The 20,629-nt window shown below is 44.3% G+C and overlaps 1 protein-coding gene across 1 annotated transcript; it reads right to left on the bottom strand.

The window, feature by feature from the left end:
- Positions 3,392 to 15,061, bottom strand: RBMX2 (RNA binding motif protein X-linked 2). Its single transcript, NM_016024.4, has 6 exons — positions 15,011 to 15,061; positions 14,678 to 14,793; positions 13,195 to 13,246; positions 7,662 to 7,791; positions 5,523 to 5,700; positions 3,392 to 4,687 (listed from the first exon to the last, which is right to left on the bottom strand). The coding sequence occupies exons 1-6, from the start codon at positions 15,013 to 15,015 to the stop codon at positions 4,200 to 4,202; spliced, it is 969 nt and encodes a 322-aa protein (NP_057108.2). The 5' UTR covers positions 15,016 to 15,061; the 3' UTR covers positions 3,392 to 4,199.

Here is a 20,629-nt window from a genome sequence, read left to right as displayed (position 1 = left end):
GGGATGGGAACATCTGGCAGATGCCTCTGAGGGTGCTGGCTCTGCAAACACACTGGTTCAACTGTCAGTTTGCAGAGGGGCCCACGCTTCCCTACTAAGAGCTAGCACTTCCCCTGTGCCAGAAGATGCTGCAGACGCTGCTCCCCACACTAGGCAACCAGTGCCTCACTCACAGCTGTCCCCAGCCCCTCTCTTTCTCTCTCTGGTTACTAAACTGGTAACTAGGGTTTAATCCCAGCAGAAACTGGCTAAGAAAGTACTGGCCCTAATAAAGGAGGGAACATACACCAAAGAGCTGCAAAAATTAGCTGGCATAGGCTAGCAGAAGTCAAGGAAGTATTGGGTTTGGATTTCACAGGTACTATATCAAGAGAGCCAGAAAAGCAAAACTTCAGACTTGGGAGCCCTTTCTCAGGATATACAATTTAACCTCCTGGCAAGGCCCACAGCGGGTGAGCAGCCTCTAATAAGATGGATCTCAAAGGCCCAGTGAAAGCGATGGCCAATGCTGGGCCAAGTAGAAACACCTAAGCTGCCCTGGCAGATGGCAGAGGAAGGAATGAAGGGAAGTGGGCATGCTGGGGTGGACAGATTACATGAAGTCAAAAGCCCACCAGAAGACAGTATTCCATGGGGGGGCAGGGGAGACCTCATGCACTGAGGTCAGCAGGAAGGCACTGGTGAGAGGGACACCAGCATCATTAAGTTCAGAGGTGGCCACCTCTGCACGCCAAGGCTGACAGTGAGAGACCATCACAGAGCTGTGCTCATCAGTGTCAAAGGGGATGATGGGGCCCCAGAGTAAGAGACACCAGACAGAAGTGCTTAACCTCCAGAAGGCAGGAGGCCACAAATACCAGAGCGAACCACAAGGTCTGAAGGACAGCCATGGGGGCTTTACCTTCAGGGAGTTCTGGAGATGGCTAATGGAACATGGTGTCCCTAGGAGCAAGTCAAAAAGCGTGTTGCTCCCTATCTACAAGCTGAAGAGGAGTGGAGGAGCAGGAGGCTAAGGGAGCTTGCCCCAATAAAAAGTCCTACTTTCTTGCTTAGCTGCCATACTTCAGCCAGTTTTCAGGTCTGGAAAGAGGTGGCTGGATCCCTGGGAAGGACAATGGTTAGTATGTAATGATTTGCCCAGTACTTCCCCAAAGGGACCTACAGCCACTTACTTGGGTATATGTACACTGGGGAGAGAATACTCAAACATTTGGCGGAACACTGGACCCAAGATCTAAGTTGACTGATACCTAGAGACAGGAAGCATCATCACGGCCCTGGTTAGACTGGGGGCTTATGGAGGCCAAGTGATAACTGAAATTCTGGCCAAAACAGGATTCACGGTGGGCCTGCTGCTGACCCAGCCAGTGGTCATTTCCTAGCCCTAAGTGTGTAACTGGAATTGACCTGGCAGTAGGAGTAATGAATGCCCCCAGGGCTCCTTGGTCTATTGGAGTGAGAGCTGTCATAGTGAGGAAGGCCATGTGGAAAAGGCTCCTTAGTCTGTTGGAGTGAGAGCTGTCATAGTGAGGAAGGCCATGTGGAAACCTCTGAAGCTGCTCCCCCGAACCCCTCCACAGACAAGATAGTAAACTGTGATGGTTACTGTTGTGTGTCAACTCAGCATAGGTTATAGTACGCAGTTGCTCAATCAAACGCTACTCGGTGTTGCTGTGAAGGTACAGTAATCCCCCCTTATCTGTGGTTTCAGTTACCTGTGGTTAACCGTTGTCGGAAAATATCACATACGTGAGATATTTTGAGAAACACCACATTCACATGACTTTTATTACAGTATATTGTTATAACTGTTGTTTTACTGTTATTGTTGTTACTGTACCTCATTTATAATTTAAACTTTATCATATATATGTACAGAAAAAACATAGTATATGTAGGGTTCAGCATTAGCCAGTTTCAGGCATCCACTGGGGGTCTTGGAACATATCCCGTTGATAACGGGGGAGTAGTGGATTTTGTAGATTTGGTTAACATCTACGATCAGTTAAGTAATGATTACCATTGATACTGTGGGTGGGCCTCAACCAATCAGTTGAAAGCCTCAAGAGGAAAACAGATTTCCCTGAAGAAATCCCACCAGTGTCAGCTCTTGTTTCATGAATTTTAGGCTTGCCTAACCAGCCCTCATAATTGTGTGATCCAATTCCTTGCCACATATAAAAGCAAGCAGACGAAATGACTTAACCCGGTTCACAGGCCTTTGTCACTGGCTACCACAGCAATGGCATAATGGGCACATGAGCACAGCAGCCACGATGGCTGAGATGGAGGCCAAGAGGCAATAGCATGAACTGCTTATGATGGCTGATGTAGCAGGGCTCCTCTGACAGGTGACTCTGGCTCAACTCACTTTGGTCTAGCTGAAACCATCTTAGAACTGCACAAGACTTTTCCTACCCACCCCTCCTTCCTATTTCTTCTCCAGAGGTTAGATCTGTATCATAGTCTGACAGCTTTCCCAGACTCCTCGACCCTCCCCTACTACATCCCCCACAAACTCTCCAACTCTCCTGCATGTCTAACCGAGGGTCCAAATTAACACAAAGGGAAGTCCAACTTAGTGCACTCACTATTAAAGCTCTGGTCTTTCATTTTGCAGGGTCAGAAATTCAACCTTTCATAATTTACCAGGGAGTATTTATTAAAGGTCCTGTGACCTAGTTCCTACCAAACTCGTTAAGAGACTGATAGATAAAGGAGAAAGCTAAAACTCAAAAGAAGAAGGAACTGCCAGGCAGACCAGGACAGACAATGAAGATGGCAAAGGGTTCCCATCCCACCAACAGTGGCTACTTGAAAAGAGGACAAAGGCTAAAAGGTAGCCTGGTATGTCTGGAATACAAAAAGGAAGCTGGCTAGCCAAAAAGTAGAAACAACCCACATGTCCACTCACTGATGAGTGCATAAACAAAATGTGCTCTATCAATACAATGGGATATGATACAGCCATAAAAAGGAATGAAGTACTGATACATGCTACAATGTGGATGGATCTCAAAAACACTACATTAGGCCAGGTGTGGTGGCACACGCCTGTAATCCCAGAACTTTGGGAGGCCAAGGCAGGCAGATCACTTGAGGTCAGGAGCTCAAGACCAGCCTGGCCAACACGGTGAAACCCCATCTCTACTAAAATACAAAAATAAGCTAGGTGTGGTGGTGCATGCCTGTAATCCCAGCTACTCAGGAGGTTGAGGCAGGAGAATGGCTTGAACCCAGGAGGCAAAGGTTGCAGTGAGCTGAGATTGCACCAATGCACTCCAGTCTGGGCGACAGAGTGAGACTCCATCTCAAATTTAAAAAAAAAAAAAAAAAAAAAAAAAAAAAACCACTACACTAAGTGAAAGAAGCCAGACACAAAAGGCCACAATTGTGTAATTCCATTTTTATGAAAGATCCAGAATAGGCAAACCCATAAACAGGAAGTCCACTGGTGGTTGCTAGGGACAGGGAGGAGGGAGGAAACGGGGAGCTCTTGTTTAATGGCTACAGGGTTTCATTTTGGGATGATAAAAAATGTTTTGGAACTAGACAGAGGCAATGGTTACACAACACTGTGGATGTTCAGTACCAAATGCCACTGAATTGTTCCCTTTAAAATGGTTAACTTTATGTTATGTGAATTTCACCTAAATACAAATAAATAATAAATACATTGCAAGGAAAAAATGTGGAAAGAGGCATATCGAACAAAAAAGTTTTAATGAAAAAGAAAAGACATTAAAAAGTTCTGCAAACAGGAAGGTTTGGGCATGGAGCTGGCTGATTTTAAAAATCCTATCCCATTCGTTCACATCAAGCTGTCCAAACCTAGTAACTGGAAAGGTCCCAAGATGCTGGGCTATAAACATCTAACACGAAGACTAGAATTCTAGAATTATCTAGTATTTTCCCTTTCCTGAAAATTCCATCTTCAACTGGGGTCTATGGGTTCAAGAGCCATATTTATGAACCAAAGTTCAGGATACATACTCTGGTACAGGGACAATGGATGGTGCAAACAATATCCAGGATATCTAGCTGTTGAAACTGCAGCCCTCCCAATGACTCTAAATAGTCAAGGGATTAAAAGAATCCAGCCCCAGAAGTTTTAGATACAAAAATAGTAACCACCCAACTGAATTTGACTGCATTTAAAAAACATAATTATTTCCAAATCTACTGTGCAGCTGAAGTCTTCAGTGACGCCAACGGTCACTGGGATTCGAAGACTCCCGCTCCCGGGAGCGTCGGGCCCTTTTATGCCTATGGGATTTATCTCGGCTCCTACTTCTACTTCTATAACTACGCCCTTCAGAACGCCCATTATACCAGCTAGAATGTGCATCTGAGCTCCGCCCTCTGTCCCTAATCCTGGTCTTTTCTTCTCTTGCCTCCCTCCTGCTTGAGGACTTGTGCTCGTGCTTGGGTTTCTCCTTCTTCAGCTCCCTCTCTAGGTCCTCTGCTCCACCAGAGTAGGCCGTCCTGGATTTGGGGAGCTTCTGCCCCTCCCTGGGCTCTGACTTCTGAGCTCTCTCTGAGTTCTTGCTGCTGTGCTTCTTAGGGCCAGTGTCATCCTTTTCCTTTACTGTCTTGCGTCTGGGTGACGAAGAGGATGGTTGCTCTGCCTGTACCTCCCGGTCGGCTTTCTCTTTTTCTTTCTTTTTTTTCTTTTTTTCCTTTTTGTCTGGAGGATAAAAGAAAGAAGCAGTAAATAAGAAAAGGGAAAAAAATAAAAGAACTCCCTTAAAAAAAAAAAAAGCACCTTTCTTTTCTGAATACGTTACATCAACCACAGGTGCTACAGTTCAAAAACATTCACAGCCGGGTGCGGTGGCTCACGCCTGTAATCCCAGCACTTTGGGAGGCCAAGACAGGCGGATCACGAGGTCAGGAGATCAAGACCATCCTGGCTAACACGGTGAAACCCCGTCTCTACTAAAAAAAAAAAAAAAAAATTAGCCGGGTGTGGTGGCGGGTGCTTCTAGTCCCAGCTACTCAGAAGGCTGAGGCAGGAGAATGGCATGAACTCGGGAGGCGGAGCTTACAGTGAGCCGAGATCGTGCCACTGCACTCCAGCCTGGGCGACAGAAACTTTCACATGCTAGGAAGTGGGGAATGTGCATAAGGAGAACAACCTTGGCAGCAGCATGAAGCAGCCACTGTCTAGGCCTCCAGGAGAGTGCCTCCGAGAAGCCAACTTGGATGTCTGTCACCTTTGATATGTCGAGTGGCTGTACAAGGTAATTCCCATCCTGAGTTACCTCTTCAAAGACCTTATCTCCAAATACAGTCGCATTCTGAGGTGCTGAGGGTTAGGATTTCACCATATTAACTTGGGGAGAGACACAATTCTGCCCATAGCACCAGCCTTCCACTGATACTCCCTGCTTTCCCAATTAAACTATGCTTCCCCACACCTTCCCCTTTCACACTTGAGTTGATTATCAACTATCAGTGAATGCAAGGAAGAGCAGACATTAAGACCACCCAGAATCTTCTCTTAAGTCTTAATGCTTTACCTTTTTTGTGCTTTTTTGTTGGTTTTTCATCTTCAGAGCTCTCAGACAAACTTGGTGAGGGGGTACGAGCCCCACAGCCCTTCTCCTGGAGTTGTCTGGTCACATCATCTATTTCTTCTGAGTCCTTAGGAGCCCGATAGTTAGACACATGATCCACTCGGATAGTTCTTCCTTTGATCTAAGCAAGACAGGCGATGCTTCAGTGAAGACAGCCCTCATACCAAACTGTCAAACTATTTGAACACAAGCTACAGAGAACCATGATTTGAACTACATCCTTTACCTTCTTGTTAAATTCTGTCACTAAAGCAGACCTGTCCAACTGGTGTGTCATAGCATGTACACCTAAATATTAATACATTCAGCTCTCAGTGCAGCCAGATGAGGCCTGGGGCAGTTGTACCAGCAGCCTCATCACTTTACTCTGGGGCAGCATACAAATATCTTCATGTTCTGTATGTGCCATAAAATGAAAAAGACTAGGAAAACTACCTCAAAGCACAAGCATCAGGGAAGACTGAGATTTAGATGCACAATGAATCACCCTTGATCTGTAACCTAAGTTTACAGTGAAACATACCCTAGGAAGGTCTGGCAACTAGAAGGAATTCTTGAAATCTAGCTTAATGCTACAACTGCTTTCTCCACCCAGTAATTAGGAGGCAAAGTCAGACCAATAGTTTGGAGGGAGAAAGGAATCAAGAAAAGGGCACTTGCTTTTTTCTTAAGCCCTCACACCTTGCTCTAGCCCCACCATACTGGAACAATCAGCTCACGCTGATTCTTGCACAACGAATCACATCTCTCCAGATGAACAACAACAAAATATTAACCCCTCTGGCCGGGCGCAGTGGCTCACACCTGTAATCCCAGCACTTTAGGAGGCCAAAGCGGGTGGATCACTTGAGGTCAGAAGTACGAGACCAGCCTGGCCAATATGGTGAAACCCCATCTCTACTAAAAATACAAAAATTTGCCGGGCATGGTGGTGCACACCTGTAATTCCAGCTACTCAGGAGGCTGAGACAGGAGAATCACTTGAACCCAGGCAACAGAGGTTGTGGTGATCCAAGACCACGCCACTGCACTCCAACCAGGGCAACAGAGTGAGACCCTGTCCCCCTCCCCCACCCCCCAAAAAATTAACACCTCACTTAAAATAAAAATATTCTATTTTTAGGCAGATACAGACTTACTCCCTAGGCAAAGTCATCCAAAATTTAAAGTTTGGCTTTTATTGTTCCAATACAAGAGCAGATTTTTATTTTTACCTTAAGGCCTAAGTGGCTTCTGTCATGTATCCTCTTCTCCATTTTGAAACACTTTGGAAAACCTTCCTTTTACAGTGATGCCCTCTGACTGCTGGCTTCCTTAAACATCAAGCCTAGAACCTTGTTCCACTCTGTTCTATAATCTCCAGCTATTCCATACTCGTGAATCAGTGACAAACTCTCCAACTCAAGCCTCCCCCCACCAACTCTGTGACACTGTTCAACTGCAGCTCTTTTCCTAAATGAGTGCAGCAACCACATGGAGCATCAATAAGCCTGACTTGCGCTATCTCCTTCTAAGAACTCAGTGCCTCACTTATGACAGTGGAAATGAGAGGGAACTGGGGGGAGAAAATTTCAGGATGAAATTACTTTTGTAGAATCTGCCATCAGATTTTAACTAGAGAATTTCTAGGGCCCAATATGCTAGGTCACTGGAGATATATGACAGACATACATGGCTATGTACTAGATTATGAGGCCATGATGAAGCCCAAAACCCCCAACACACAACAATATGGAAGAGCAATGTTTGCTAGTCTCTTCATCCTCCAGTACACCAGAGATGACAGTAGACAATAAAAGAAAGGTGAAAAACAGAGGCCTGGATGAGAGGCAGGCCTGGTGCCTATGCTCCTGGGGAGATGGTTTGTTAACAGATGGGGAAAAGAAGCAAGTCCTGCAGGACCATGAGCCAACAGAATTATTTCCTGGAATCTCTTCTTGACCAGTGTCTCCACATCTCTGCAGCCCCCGCAACACACCAAGCTCACAAGTGCTGCCCTTGTGTCTGCGGGAACCAGGTAGAAAACGAAACCCCTATACATGGGAAAAAAGTCCAACCAACCTGCTTAATAAGCACACTCACCTTGATCCCATTAAAATTGTCGACGGCCAGAATTGTGCTCCTCTGGTCTTCATAGCAGAGGAAACAGAATCCTTTGGATTTCCCAGTTTTCTTGTCCCGCACGAGATTAATGTTAACAATCTCCCCATATCTATTTATTTTATAAAAGAGTAAGACACTGTTGACTTAAAAGGCAAAAACATGCAGATAAGGTAATAAAACAAAATTCAAATAATATAGTGTATACAAGAGATGCATCTAGAACAAGATGACATAGAAAGGTTGCAAAGAAAAAGTCAGACAAGAACAGGAACCCCCAATTAAAAAATGGGTGGCAATATCCAGAGCAAAGACTAATTCAAGGCCAAAATAAAAATATCACATGAGACTAAGAAGATTATTTTACACTGAAAAAGGCCTAAATACACAACAAAGGTATAAGCCAGGAAAACGTTATGAGCCAATTAAGAAATCAAAAATTTTAATTAAAAAAGCTATTTGAAATGCAAAAAGAAACTAATAGAGAAAGTTATGGGAGAATTTAACACATCACTTTGAAGTTTATCACGCACAAAGTGGACAGAAATAAACTAAAATCAGATTAATTAATATACATAATTACTCTGTTATAATAACAAATATTAATGTAGGACTATTAGATACATAGATATCTTTGAATCCTACAAGATGACATTTTCAAGAATCCATGAAGCATGTATTAAAATTGACTATGGATTAGGTCTCAATGTAAACCTCAATAATTATACTACAAAAAACAGAACAGACCATGTTTCCAGTTATAATGTTATAAAGCTGGAAATGATATTTTAAATAAAAAAAAGTTACCTAACTAGAACTTGAAAGCTACTCTCCTAACAACAGCATGAAAGAGAAGACGAAGCAAAATTAAAAAAAAATAAATGGCAGACTATTTAGAAAATAGCAAAAATGAGAATATACACCAAAACTTATGAAATGTGGCTAACGTCATACTCAGGAAAATTTGTAATTTTAAAAGAATTTTATTGTGAAGAGAAAGGATGAACATAAAGGAAGAAAGCAAACCTAATGAAAGCAGATGGCAGTTAATAGAGATAAAAGCAGAAATTAGGCTCGGCATGGTGGCTCATGCCTGTAATCCCAGCATTTTGGGAGGCCAAGGTGGGAGGGCTGTTTGAGGCCAGCAGTTCAAGACCAGCCTGGGCAACAGAACAAGATCCTGTCTCTAAAACAAACAAACAAACAAACAAGAAGGCAGAATTAAATAGAAAAAAAAAGGCCAGGCATGGTGGCTCACACCTGTAATACCAGCACTTTGGGAGGCAGGAGGATTGAGGCCAGTAGTTCGAGACCAGCCTGGGCAACAGAACAAGACCCTGTCTCTAAAAAAAGCAAACAAACAAAAAGGAAGATAGAAATAGGAAAACAAAAAGGAAATAGAAAAAAAAGATCAGGCACGGTGGCTCACGTGCATAATACCAGCACTTTGGGAAGCCGAGGCCATAGGATCACTTGATGCCAGGAGTTTGAGACCAGCCTGGACAATACGGCCAGACCCCTGTCTCTACAAAAAAAATTTTTTTTAATTAGCCAGGCATAGTGTGCACCTGTAGTCCCAGCCATTCAGGAGGGTGCGTGGGGCGGATCACTTGAGCCCAGGAGTTCGAGGCTGCAGTGAGCTAGGATCATGCCACTGCACTCCAAACCTGAGCAAGAGAGACCCTGTTTCAAAAAAAAAAAAAGAAAAAACATTAGAAAAACAAACTACCTTACGCCTTACAAAAAGATAAATTCCAGGTAAGTTAGAGGTTTATAAATTTAAAAATAAAGTCATAAAAAGAAAATAGGAATTGATAGATATGTTACATAATCACATACATACACTTCAGCCCAAAATCCAGCATCCTACTTAATGAGAAATACTAGAGCCAATTCAACTAAGTTTAGGAACTATTTAATACTAAATTGGAGGTATAGGCCAATGCAATTAGATAAAACAGATACAAGAAATGAAAAAAGGAAGTAACACTACCTTTCTGTAGATTACATATGACAGTAGCCCAAGAGCTCAAGGCTACAGTGAGCTACGGTCTTAACACTGCACTCCAGCGTGGGTGTCAGAGCAAGGCCCTTTCTCAGAACAATCAACTAAATTAAAATGCTAACAGCTGGGGGATCTGGGTGAAGGAGATACAGGTATTCTTTATGCCATTTGATAATGTTCCTGTATTAAGCCTGAAATTATTTCAAAACAAGAATTAAAAAAAAAAAAAGAATACAGGCACTGGCTTGAAGGAACTCATGTTGACCCTCAAATAGGGAAAATTTGAGCATCAAGAAAGAATAATGATAAGTATAACATATCAAATTAAGAAAAAATAAGTCCATAGTACAGGCTGAGCATCCCTAATCTGAAAATCCAAAATTCAAAATGCTCCAAAGTCTGAAACATTTTGAGCACCAACATGGTATCACAAGTGGAAAATTCCATATCTGACACCTTTAATTTCTAATGGTTCAATGTACACAAACTTTGTTTCACACACAAAATTACTGAAAATATTGAGGGTATAAAATTACCCTCAGTCTATGTGTATAAGGTGTATATGAAACATAAATGAATTTTATGTTTAGATCTGGGTCCCAGCCCCAAGATAGATCATTACATTTATACAAATTGGAAACACTTCTGGTCCTCTGGTCCCAAGCATTTTGTTCTTTTTTTTTTTTTTTTGGAGACAGAGTCTCACTCTGTTGCCCAGGCTGGAGTGCAATGGTACTATCTCAGCTCACTGCAACCTCCACCTTCCCGATTCAAGTGATTCTCCTGCCTTGGCCTCCAGAGTAGCTGGGACTACAGGCACCCACCACCACACCTGGCTACTTTTTGTATTTTAGTAGAGATGGGGTTTCACCATATGGCCCAGGCTGGTCTCAAACTCCTGAGCTCAGGCAATCCACCTGCCTCGGCCTCCCAATGTGCTAGGATTACAGGCGTGAGCCACCGTGCCTGGCCCCAAGCATTTTGGATAAGGGATATTCAACCTGTAATACAATACACAACAAAGTACTGCAAAGAGTTAATATCCTTCATACATGAAGGGCTCATGTAAAATCAACAAGAAAATAAGGAAAATACTTGTAGAAGAAAGTTGGCAAAGGATATGAATAGACAATTTACAAAGAAAAATAATGGGCTGCAAATCTATAAACAGATGTTCAACCTCACTGATGATGAAATAAAGGCAAAGCAGGCCGGGCGCGGTGGCTCACACCTGTAATCCCAGCACTTTGGGAGGCCGAGGCGGGCGGATCACGAGGTCAAGAGATCGAGACCATCCCGGCTAAAACGGTGAAACCCCGTCTCTACTAAAAATACAAAAAAATTAGCCGGGCGTAGTGGCGGGCGCCTGTAGTCCCAGCTACTTGGGAGGCTGAGGCAGGAGAATGGCGTGAACCCGGGAGGCGGAGCTTGCAGTGAGCCGAGATCCCGCCACTGCACTCCAGCCTGGGCGACAGAGCGAGACTCCGTCTCAAAAAAAAAAAAAAAAAAAAAAAAAAAAAAAAAAAAAAAGGCAAAGCAAAGTAATAATGAGAAGCCCTTTGGCAAATATTTTTTAAAATAGTCACTGTTAATCAGGATTCAGAAAAATGGGCATTCTAATGAGTGTGGAAATTGGTACAACCTTTTGGAGAGCAATTTGGCAATGTTTATAAAACATCTTTAAAATGCTAACATATTGATCCATATTCCTCTTTCACTAAAGAGACCATGAGGGATGCATACAAAAATTTATATACTATAATGTACATTGCAGTATAATTCATAATAGCAAACCATTGGAAATAATGTCCAACATTTTTTTAAAAATGATAAAGAGATATGCCAAAACATTAAGGTTTTCCTTAAGAGTATGTTCTATTTTCTTCTTTATACTTTATTTTGCCAAATGTTCTATAATGACTATGTATTACCTTCCAAAATCAGAAAACAAAGTAGTTTTTTTTTCTTTTTTCTTTTTTTTTGAGATGGGGGAGTCTTGCTCTATCCCCCAGGCTGGAGTGCAATGGCGCAATCCTGGCTCACTGCAACCTCCACCTCCCGGATTCAAGCAATTCTCCTGCCTCAACCTCCCGAGTAGCTGGGATTACAGGCGCGCACCACCATGCCTGGCTAATTTTTGTATTTTTAGTAGAGACAGGGTTTCCCCATGTTGGCCATGCTGGTCTCAAACTCCTGACCTCAGGTGATCTGCCCACCTCAGCCTCCCAAAGTGCTGGGATTACAAGCGTGAGCCACCGCACCCAGCCAACAAAGTAGTTTTTTGAAAGGCACTGTTATCAGCGGCAAAGGCAATCTTCATGGAGAGCAACGTGCGTAACCAGAATAGAGAATAGATAATTAGAATAAACAAACATGCACACGTTAGCTCATCATTACTTAATGCAAGTAGAACAGCTCCAAGATGGAAGGCTGAGTAGAAGTACCACAAAGGGGTAGAAATTATAGGCTGCACCTGCTGTGAACTTCCCAACATCCAGAAGTTGGAGGAAGCAATCTTTGTCCCTGCCAGGGCCCTCCACCTGTGTGGGTTGCCCAGGTTCTCTATCACAGCCTTCTTCTCACGGGTATTGCCCAATTCCTTTCCCATGTCTTGCTGCCCCATAAGTGGCTCAACCACTCGGCCAGGGCCCTCTGTCCATGGATGGTCCCATAGCAATCCCTCTGCCAGTGTATGCTACCGGTGTTCGCTTGGCCAGCCCCTTTTGCCATGGTCCGCTACCTGTACATGCTGTCCAACTTCTCTGAAACAGTACTATGCTTCCAAGGACTACAAAACCCAAACGTAGTGGTCCTCTGCACCTGTGCCAAGGTCCTCTAGCCCTGTGGACTAACTGTGCTGTTTAGCTCTGGGGTTGCAGGCCAGCTGCCCAGCCCCTCTCCTACCAGCTGCTACTACCAGTATGAGCTGCCAACACCCTCTCCCATGAAATGCTGCTGCTAACACCTCAGCAGAATGAAGAATATACAGGTCTCCTATTCATTCTTGTTCCCTTCGGGCTGTGATTCTCAGCCTCCAGGCAGAGATTGCCTTTGCTCACTAACCTTACACTCATCGAGAAACAAAGAAAGCAAACTACGACCTTCTGTTTTTTACCCCAATTTCCTCTGTGCTTTGCCCCAATCGTATGACGCCACACAGGTAAGGGCCAGAAGGGCCCTGTGACCATGGGTTACCCCTAGTTTGCAAGAGCCCAAGGAGTCCAGTCTGTTCCAGTCTAGGCCCAGGCTGAACAAGCCTCAGTGAAAAACAACAGAAATAGACTAGGATCCCCAAGATGCCCTCCCAAATTAACAAACCTCTTGGATCTCCCACAGAACATTCTAGAACCATGTCCTGGGACTGATCTAGAACAGAAGCTCCAGCCCTCCCCATGCAGGGATGCCATTCAGCCTAGAGTGAAAATAAGTGGTTTTTGTGATGCCACAAAATGTATTACAGAAACAAAGTACTCTGTCGACTCAGGAGGCAGGAAATGAAAGGACACTTACTGTGAGAACACACAGATGATGTCCCCTTCAGTCAGTTCATAAGGAAGCCCTCCTAGAAGAGAAAACCACATTTCAGTTCCACCAACATTTACCAAGTGTTTACTACATACCACGCACTAGGCCAGGCACTAGGGGTGGAAACAGTAAGCAACAGGCCCTGCCCTTAAAGAAATCAAGTCTGGGCTGGGCACCGTGGCTCACGCCTGTAATCCCAACACTTTGGGAGGCTGAGGAGGGTGGATCACCTGAGGTCAGGTGTTCGAGACCAGCCTGTCCAACATGGCGAAACCCCGGCTCTACTAAAAATACAAAAAAAAATCAGCCAGGTGAGGTGGCGGGCACCTGTAATCCCAGCTACTCAGGAGGCTGAAGCAGGAGACTCGCTTGAACCCAGGAGGCAGAGGTTGTAGTGCGCCGAGATCGTGCCATTGCACTCCAGCCTGGGCGACAAGAGTGAAACTCCAGCTCAAAAAAAAGAAAGAAAGAAAGAAATTAAGTCTGACTCAATGACAGAAGTACATGTAAGGTGCCAGTAGTACAGAAAAAGGAGTAATTAATTTTGAGTGGAAGTCGGGGTCACCACTAACGAAACTAATCTGATCACTCAGTCCTCCTGCCACCCAAAATCCTATGGACAAAGCAGATAGTTTCCATCACAAACCTCTGCTTCCACAAACATGTTGAATTCATCTGCTCATTACCCACAAATTTACAGCTATGATACAAAATCAGTCTACATATGTCATGATTAACCCCACCTACACATAGACAAAGGTTATAAAGACACTGTTAAGCATTTCCTAGGGAATAATTTCCCCTCCAAATATTTATTTCCTCATTTGTAAGATGGGGATATTAGCACGTAACTCGCAAGATTATTATAAGAGTTAAATAAAACGATGTATATAAAGTGCTTAGCACAATGTTTGGTACAATAACCTCTTTGAAGCATCAAACTTGTACAATTACTGATTGTGATATAAAGTGAATACAGTAATGGTAACGTGGCCATGGACTAGAAAGCAGGAGCTAGAGGAGCAAAGTGAATTCTGGAAGGGAAGGGGAATGGGGGAGGGTGGTGGTAGCAATATGGAGCTGTGGCTAAGACCAAGAGTTCTAGAATGCTATAGTTCTGCCTGTTGCGCTTACTAGCTATGTGACCTTAAGGAAGTCCCTTAACTTCTCTGCACCCCAATTTCCTCAGCAGTATAATGGGTCAGAGGGTGAGAGAGAAATAACAACAGTCCCTGAACCTTAGCACAGCAAATGGCAAACAGTAACTCTCATGAGCACTGATTTGGCAGGGAAGGAAAACTAAAAATGGGGCAGAAAAGAGATGTAACACGGATTCCCGGGCAGACAGCAGATGGATATGAAGGTGGGCGATGAATGTAAGCAGGAGTGAAGGGTGAAAATGCCGAAATAGTCGGAAACCGAGCAGGAGAATCTGGAGAGCACTGAGGAAGAAAGATGTGGACCTCACCCAGGAAGATCCAGGCGCTGTCCTTGTACTCGGAGTGCCAGGACACCTTATCGGCCACCCCAAGCTGGACCTCTCGTTCATTCAGCTCGTTGATCAGCTTCACCTTAGTTAAAGGGCTTCACGGTGGCGGGGGGGGTGGGGAGGGTAGGCAGAAAAGCAGACAAGTAAGTGCGAACCGGCCGGAGCTGAGGAAGAGCAAAACTAGGGGACGAGCTGTTCCAGTCCCCGCGCCGCTCCCGCCCCTCGGCCCCGCAGACGCTCTACCACACCAGTCCCGGTGGACCACCCCCAGTGGCCCGCTGCTCCTTCCTCAAAAGGAAGCTGACGCCTTACTTCATCTCCTCGGGTTCGCGCTCAGCACTCAGGAATCAGCGCCCGGGAAAGGCAGCGCAGCGCATGCGCGGCCCCGGCGCCAGTGGCCAGTCGATTCGGTGACCTCGCGCCGGAAGAGCCGGGGCGTACCGGGGCGTGGCGCCTGCGCACTAGCAGCCTTCCGCGCTGCGTGCGGTTACCTCTTGGAGAGGTGGTTTTTCTCTAGTTTTTCGCTTTTTCTTCTCTGTGAAATGGGGTAAAGGCACAAGCCTGGGCTGTTGCAGGACCCCCACCTCTTGAACGATATCTGAAACTGGTTAGATTAGCTATAAATATTTGCTGAGTGAACGGAACAAGCAGCCTGATGTGGCGACTTTAGTCTCAGCCCTCGCTCCCAGTCCAGAGTCCCACTTGGACCTTCGCTCCTAGTCAGTTGCTAAAGCACAGACCCATCAAAGCATCCCTGTCATGGCAGAAAAGTGAAGAAGATAGGTGAAAAGGTAAATCTTCTGTTGTCCTTATCCCAATACATAGGCAACAGACCAGTGTGCTTCTATAGGCTGAATCGAATACCTACACATTTGCATGAGAACTGCTGCACTTACTCTTTTCCATAGGCTCTCTCCTAGTTGAGCAGGAGGCAGAAATTAATATTGTTAAATTAATAGCTAACAATTGAGCAGATGATGTACTATACGATGCTAGAGTATGTACTAAGCAATTTACATGTATTGTCTCTCCACCCTCACAACAACCCAATAAAGCAGAGAAAATTACAATCCCTAGCCGGGCACAGCAGCTCAGCCTGTAATCCCAGCACTTTGGGAAGCTGAGGTAGGAGGATTGCTTGAGCTCAGGAGTTCGAGACCATCCTGGGCAACATAGCAAGACCCTGTCTCTAAAATAAAGGGAAAAAAAGGGGGGCCAAGTGTGGTGGCTCATGCCTGTCATCCCAACACTTTGGGAGGCTAAGACGGGTGGATCACCTGAAGTCGGGAGTTCAAGACCAGCCTGGCCAAGATGGTGAAACTCTGTCTCTACTAAAAATACAAAAATTAGCCAGGCATGGTGTCACACGCCTGTAATCTCAGCTACTCAGGGGGCTGAGGCAGGAGAATCACTTGAACCTGGGAGGCAGAGATTGCAGTGAGCTGAGATCGCACCACTGCACTCTAGCCTGGGCAGCAGAGTGAGACTCCTTTTTATTTAAAAAAAAAAAGAAAGAAAAGAAAAAAAATTTCCACCCTCATTTTGTAGAGGAAGAAATGAGGCTCAAAGGAATAAATTAACTTGAAAGGTACTCTACCTGCACCCGTCAGGTCAGGTTGATTTAATCAGTCCTTACTGAACATCTAGATTTGTCCTGTACAGCTAAGGTCTGTAGACAGGAGTATCAGGGTGGGTCCTCTGCCTTCAAGGAGCTAATATTATAATTAAGGGGACAAGATATATTTGCTTGATAGATTTCAACCAGAAATATCTAGAAACCAGTGGAAGAGATTATTAATGTATAATATGTGATTTAACCCATATTGACAGTTTGAATCCATTTTGCATGTGTCCACATCAATACCTGCTCTTGGACTATGATGTTCTAAAAGTGAAAGTCCAGAGCTGTGCGGCCTAACTCAGAGCACCAGATATTAGGTCCTTCATAAAAGCATTTTGATGATGATAACAACTGTACCCTCAAGTGGCCCACCATGTAACCAATGTCCTGCCAAGAAGGAGAACAGAGGCTGCCCACCAATGACAGTTCCTCCTCATTCATTCTGTGTCTGTTCCCCCCTCCCCATTCCAACCCAGCTATTCATTAACTTTGTAAAATTATCTTGGCAATGAAAGCTAAACAGTGACAGATTGCACATGGGGTTTATCTGCTCCTAGGAATCTCAGGTTGCTTAGTTGTGGGTTGAAGTAGCCATTGCAGAGTGGTAAACTAGCATGCAGCATTATCTTGCTGACTTCTTCAAATGGCTGTGAAATGAGAGAGTTAAGACTATACCTGGGGATTAGTCATCAGTGTTCCGAGAGAAGCTGGAGCAAAAGAGTAGAATAAGACCAATTTAGATTGAGAACATGAGAAGGCTATTATTACTATGCAGCTGGTAGGTTCAGCAGAGGTATTCTGAAGGTGAGAGAGCTGAATATTGCTCCAGTTTTCCTGGAACTGAGAGGTTTCTGAGACTTCTGACTTTTGGAGCTAAAATTGGCAACCCCAGAACAAACCATGATGGTTGATCACCCTAGGAGATCCTGAAGTAAATAACGAAGCAAGGAAGTCGGATTTTCCATAGATGTACTTGCATTTGGCAGGAATTGGTAGGTAAGATGATGCCTAGAGATACCCGTAAGTCTGAGTTGAAAAGAGGTGGGGATGCAGAGGACCCTCTGAATCTAACATCTGAAAGTAGAACGAGGGTTTGGCATCCAAGGTGGCTATAAGTGATCTCCACCAATAGCATCCATTTAGAAAATATTCTATGCAGTATTTAGTTCTAGCTTCTGAGGGTAATGCTAAGGTAGTCAAAGGCAGTCCCCACATTCAAGGAAAGGCTGAACTATCTAGCCAGAGTCATCTCCCAACTTCCCACCACCACACCACACCCCCAAACAGTTTTTCCTCCAGACTTCCCTATTTTGGGCAATATTATCACCATTTTCCTGGTTGCCCATACTCAAAAACATGGGTTTCATATTTCAGTCTTCCCTATTCTTCACCTCAACATATCCATTCACTCACCAAGTCCTAACAATTGTACTATTGAAGTATCTATAAAATGTGTCTCTTCCAGTCACAGTCCTATCTGAGCCATTAGTACATGCCTCCTAGCTCTTTCAGTACTCTTCTAGCTGCCCCAGCCCCTACTCTCCATTCTCTTCTGTCACTGCTCCCCCACTAAAAAACTCAACTTAAGCCGGGCTCCACTTCTATCCATTCCCTCGAAGGCCCCTTTCATCATCCCACCTAGGCACCTCTGCTGAGAGAGCCTCATAGCCCTGGACCACCCTCCTCTCTCTCACTGAAATCTGCCCAAGCCCCAAGCCCCCAACAAGTCATTCATCATGCAGGAAACCTTTCCCGATCTTATGTGCCCACAGTGATGGCTCTCACTTCTGAACTCTGTAACACTACAGAACTCCTTTATGTTCTTCTCCCAGAAAGACCATGAAATCCTGGAAGGTAAAGGATCTGCATTTATAAGCCCCTCAGAACCTCAAGCCTCGAACATTTTCCTATATACATAGAATGCAACCAATATACTTACTGGTTAATGAAATTGAAAAATCACACAACTATGATTACCTTTAGGAAAACAGATGAGGGTAGGGGTAGAGAAGACTTTATTTTATTTTCCCTTTGTTCATTTCTATATGGTTAGAATTTTCCTTTTTTTATTTTTATTTTTATTTTTATTTATTTATTTTTTTTTTTTGAGACAGAGTCTCACTCTGTCACGCAGACTGTAGTGCAGTAGTGCAATCTTGGCTCACTGCAACCTCCGCCTCCCAGGTTCAAGCAATTCTCCTGCCTCAGCCTCCCAAGTAGCTGGGACTACAGGCGTGTGCCACCACAGGAAGACAGCGAGGAAGCCATGTGAGTGTCTGGTAAAACAGTATTGTTCTGAGACACTCTTTTGAGTGTATTTCAGAAACAGAAAGGAGGCCAGTGTGGCTGGAGAGGAGTAGGCAAGGGGGAGAATGATAGATTTTTGTTTATTTGAGAAAATCTTACTTAGTACCTACCATGTACCTGACACTGTTCTAGGTACTTTACATGTATAAATTCATTTACTTCTTGCAACAACCCTATGAGGCAGATATTATTATCCTCACTTGGTAAATGAGAAAAGAGAGGCACAGAGAGGTTAGGTTGCTTGCCCTAGGTCACACAGCTGGTAAATGGTAGAACCAGGATTTGAATCCAGGTCATATAGCTCCAAAGTCTGCACTCTTAACCCCTATACACAGGATAAGTTGAGGTAAAGAGAACAGATCAAACATGGCCATGCTGGGTACTGGCTTTGGAATTTACTCAGTGTGAGGTAGGGAGTCACCAAAGAACTTTGATCTGATGTACATTTTAGTAGGTTCACCTTAGCTGCTGTGTTGATAACAGACCAGGGAGGGGGCAGGGGGTGCCTACAGTAGAAGCAGGAAGACCAGTTTGGAAGCTCTACAATAAATCAGACGACGGATGATGGTGATTTGTCTCCAGGTGACAGCAAAGAAGATGGTGTTCCATGCTGGTATTGTTCCAAACTAAAAAAAAAATGTATTTTAAATAAAAATAAATAAGAACACACATGACACCAACATAAAGGCACATCCTTTGTTTGTCAGTGCCCAGACACTGGCCTAGATGCTGGGGATACTACAGTGAATAAGACCACATGACCCAGTACCTGCCCTTGAGCAGCTCACGGTGTTACAAGATAGTTACAGATATAAATAAGTACTTTGTATTCAAGGTGATGAATGTCATATTGAATGTATGAGTGAAATGCCTTTAGAACCAGCTGAGGGATAATTAATTCTGGTGCTGGGGGTCAGAGGAAGCTGGGGGTGGAAAGTAGATTGTCAGGGAAAGTCACATAGAGTCAGGTGACTGTTGAGCTTGGCCTTGAAGGCAGTCACATGTAGATGGAAGACGCAGGATGGGTACCACACAGAAACAGCATTTCAAGCAGTGGAACCACCAGAGGCAAAAGCATCAAAGTGTGAAAAGCATATGATGTGACCAGGGGATGGGATGGGGCAGAGTGGTAATGGCTGAAGATAAGGATGGAAGAGTTCTGGCCATTTTGTTAAGGGCCTTGTAGATGAAGCCAAGAAGTTCTGATTCTAGCTAGTAGGCAATGAGAAGTGATCATATAGCTTAATCATTCAGTCATTCAACCAGTCAACCAGCTGACCACTTTTGTTGAGGACTTGCTATAGGCAGACACTGCTTTAGGTGCTGAGAATATAAAGGTGAACATGCTCACCCTATAAGGAAAACATATGTGGGGACAAAAACATAATCCGAGCATGTTTCTTTGAGCCTGGGAGTGACGTGGTCAATTTTCTCTTTGATCACTTTGGAACCAGTGTGGGGGATGGATTGAAGGCATGCAAGTCTTGATGCTGGGAGATCAGTTAGGATACCAGTTGGCTGTGATGAGCAGGAGCAAACAAAGTCAACAGATTTCATAGCCACAACATGCTGATTCAAGTAGATGTGGGTAGTGAGGAAACATCTAAGGATGATGCTTAGGTTTCCAGCTTGAGACACTAATTGGGTGTGACACACTTTGCTAAGGTAAAACAGGCAAGAAGACTGGTTTGGAAGAAAACTAATGAATTCAATTGGTAAATCAGTTAAAAATACTGGAGGAGTCAATAAAGGAGACTGAGAAGGAGGATGACAGAGGAAGATGAAAAAGCGGGAGAACGTGTATTCTAAAAGAAAAGGGGAGGGGCCCAGTTGTTCACATCTGTAATCCCAACACTTTTAGAGGCCAAGGTGGGAGGATTGCTTGAGGTTAGGCATTCGGGACCAACCTGGGCAACATAATGAGGCCCCCATTTCTACAAAAAATAAAAAAAAAATCCAGGCATGGTGGTGTGAGCCTATAGTCCTAGCTACTTGGGAGGTTG

This window comes from Homo sapiens, chromosome X, assembly GCF_000001405.40.
Source record: "Homo sapiens chromosome X, GRCh38.p14 Primary Assembly".
NCBI lineage: Eukaryota > Metazoa > Chordata > Mammalia > Primates > Hominidae > Homo > Homo sapiens.
Note: the sequence above shows the minus strand (reverse complement) of the source record. Positions and strands in the feature narration are given on the sequence as shown.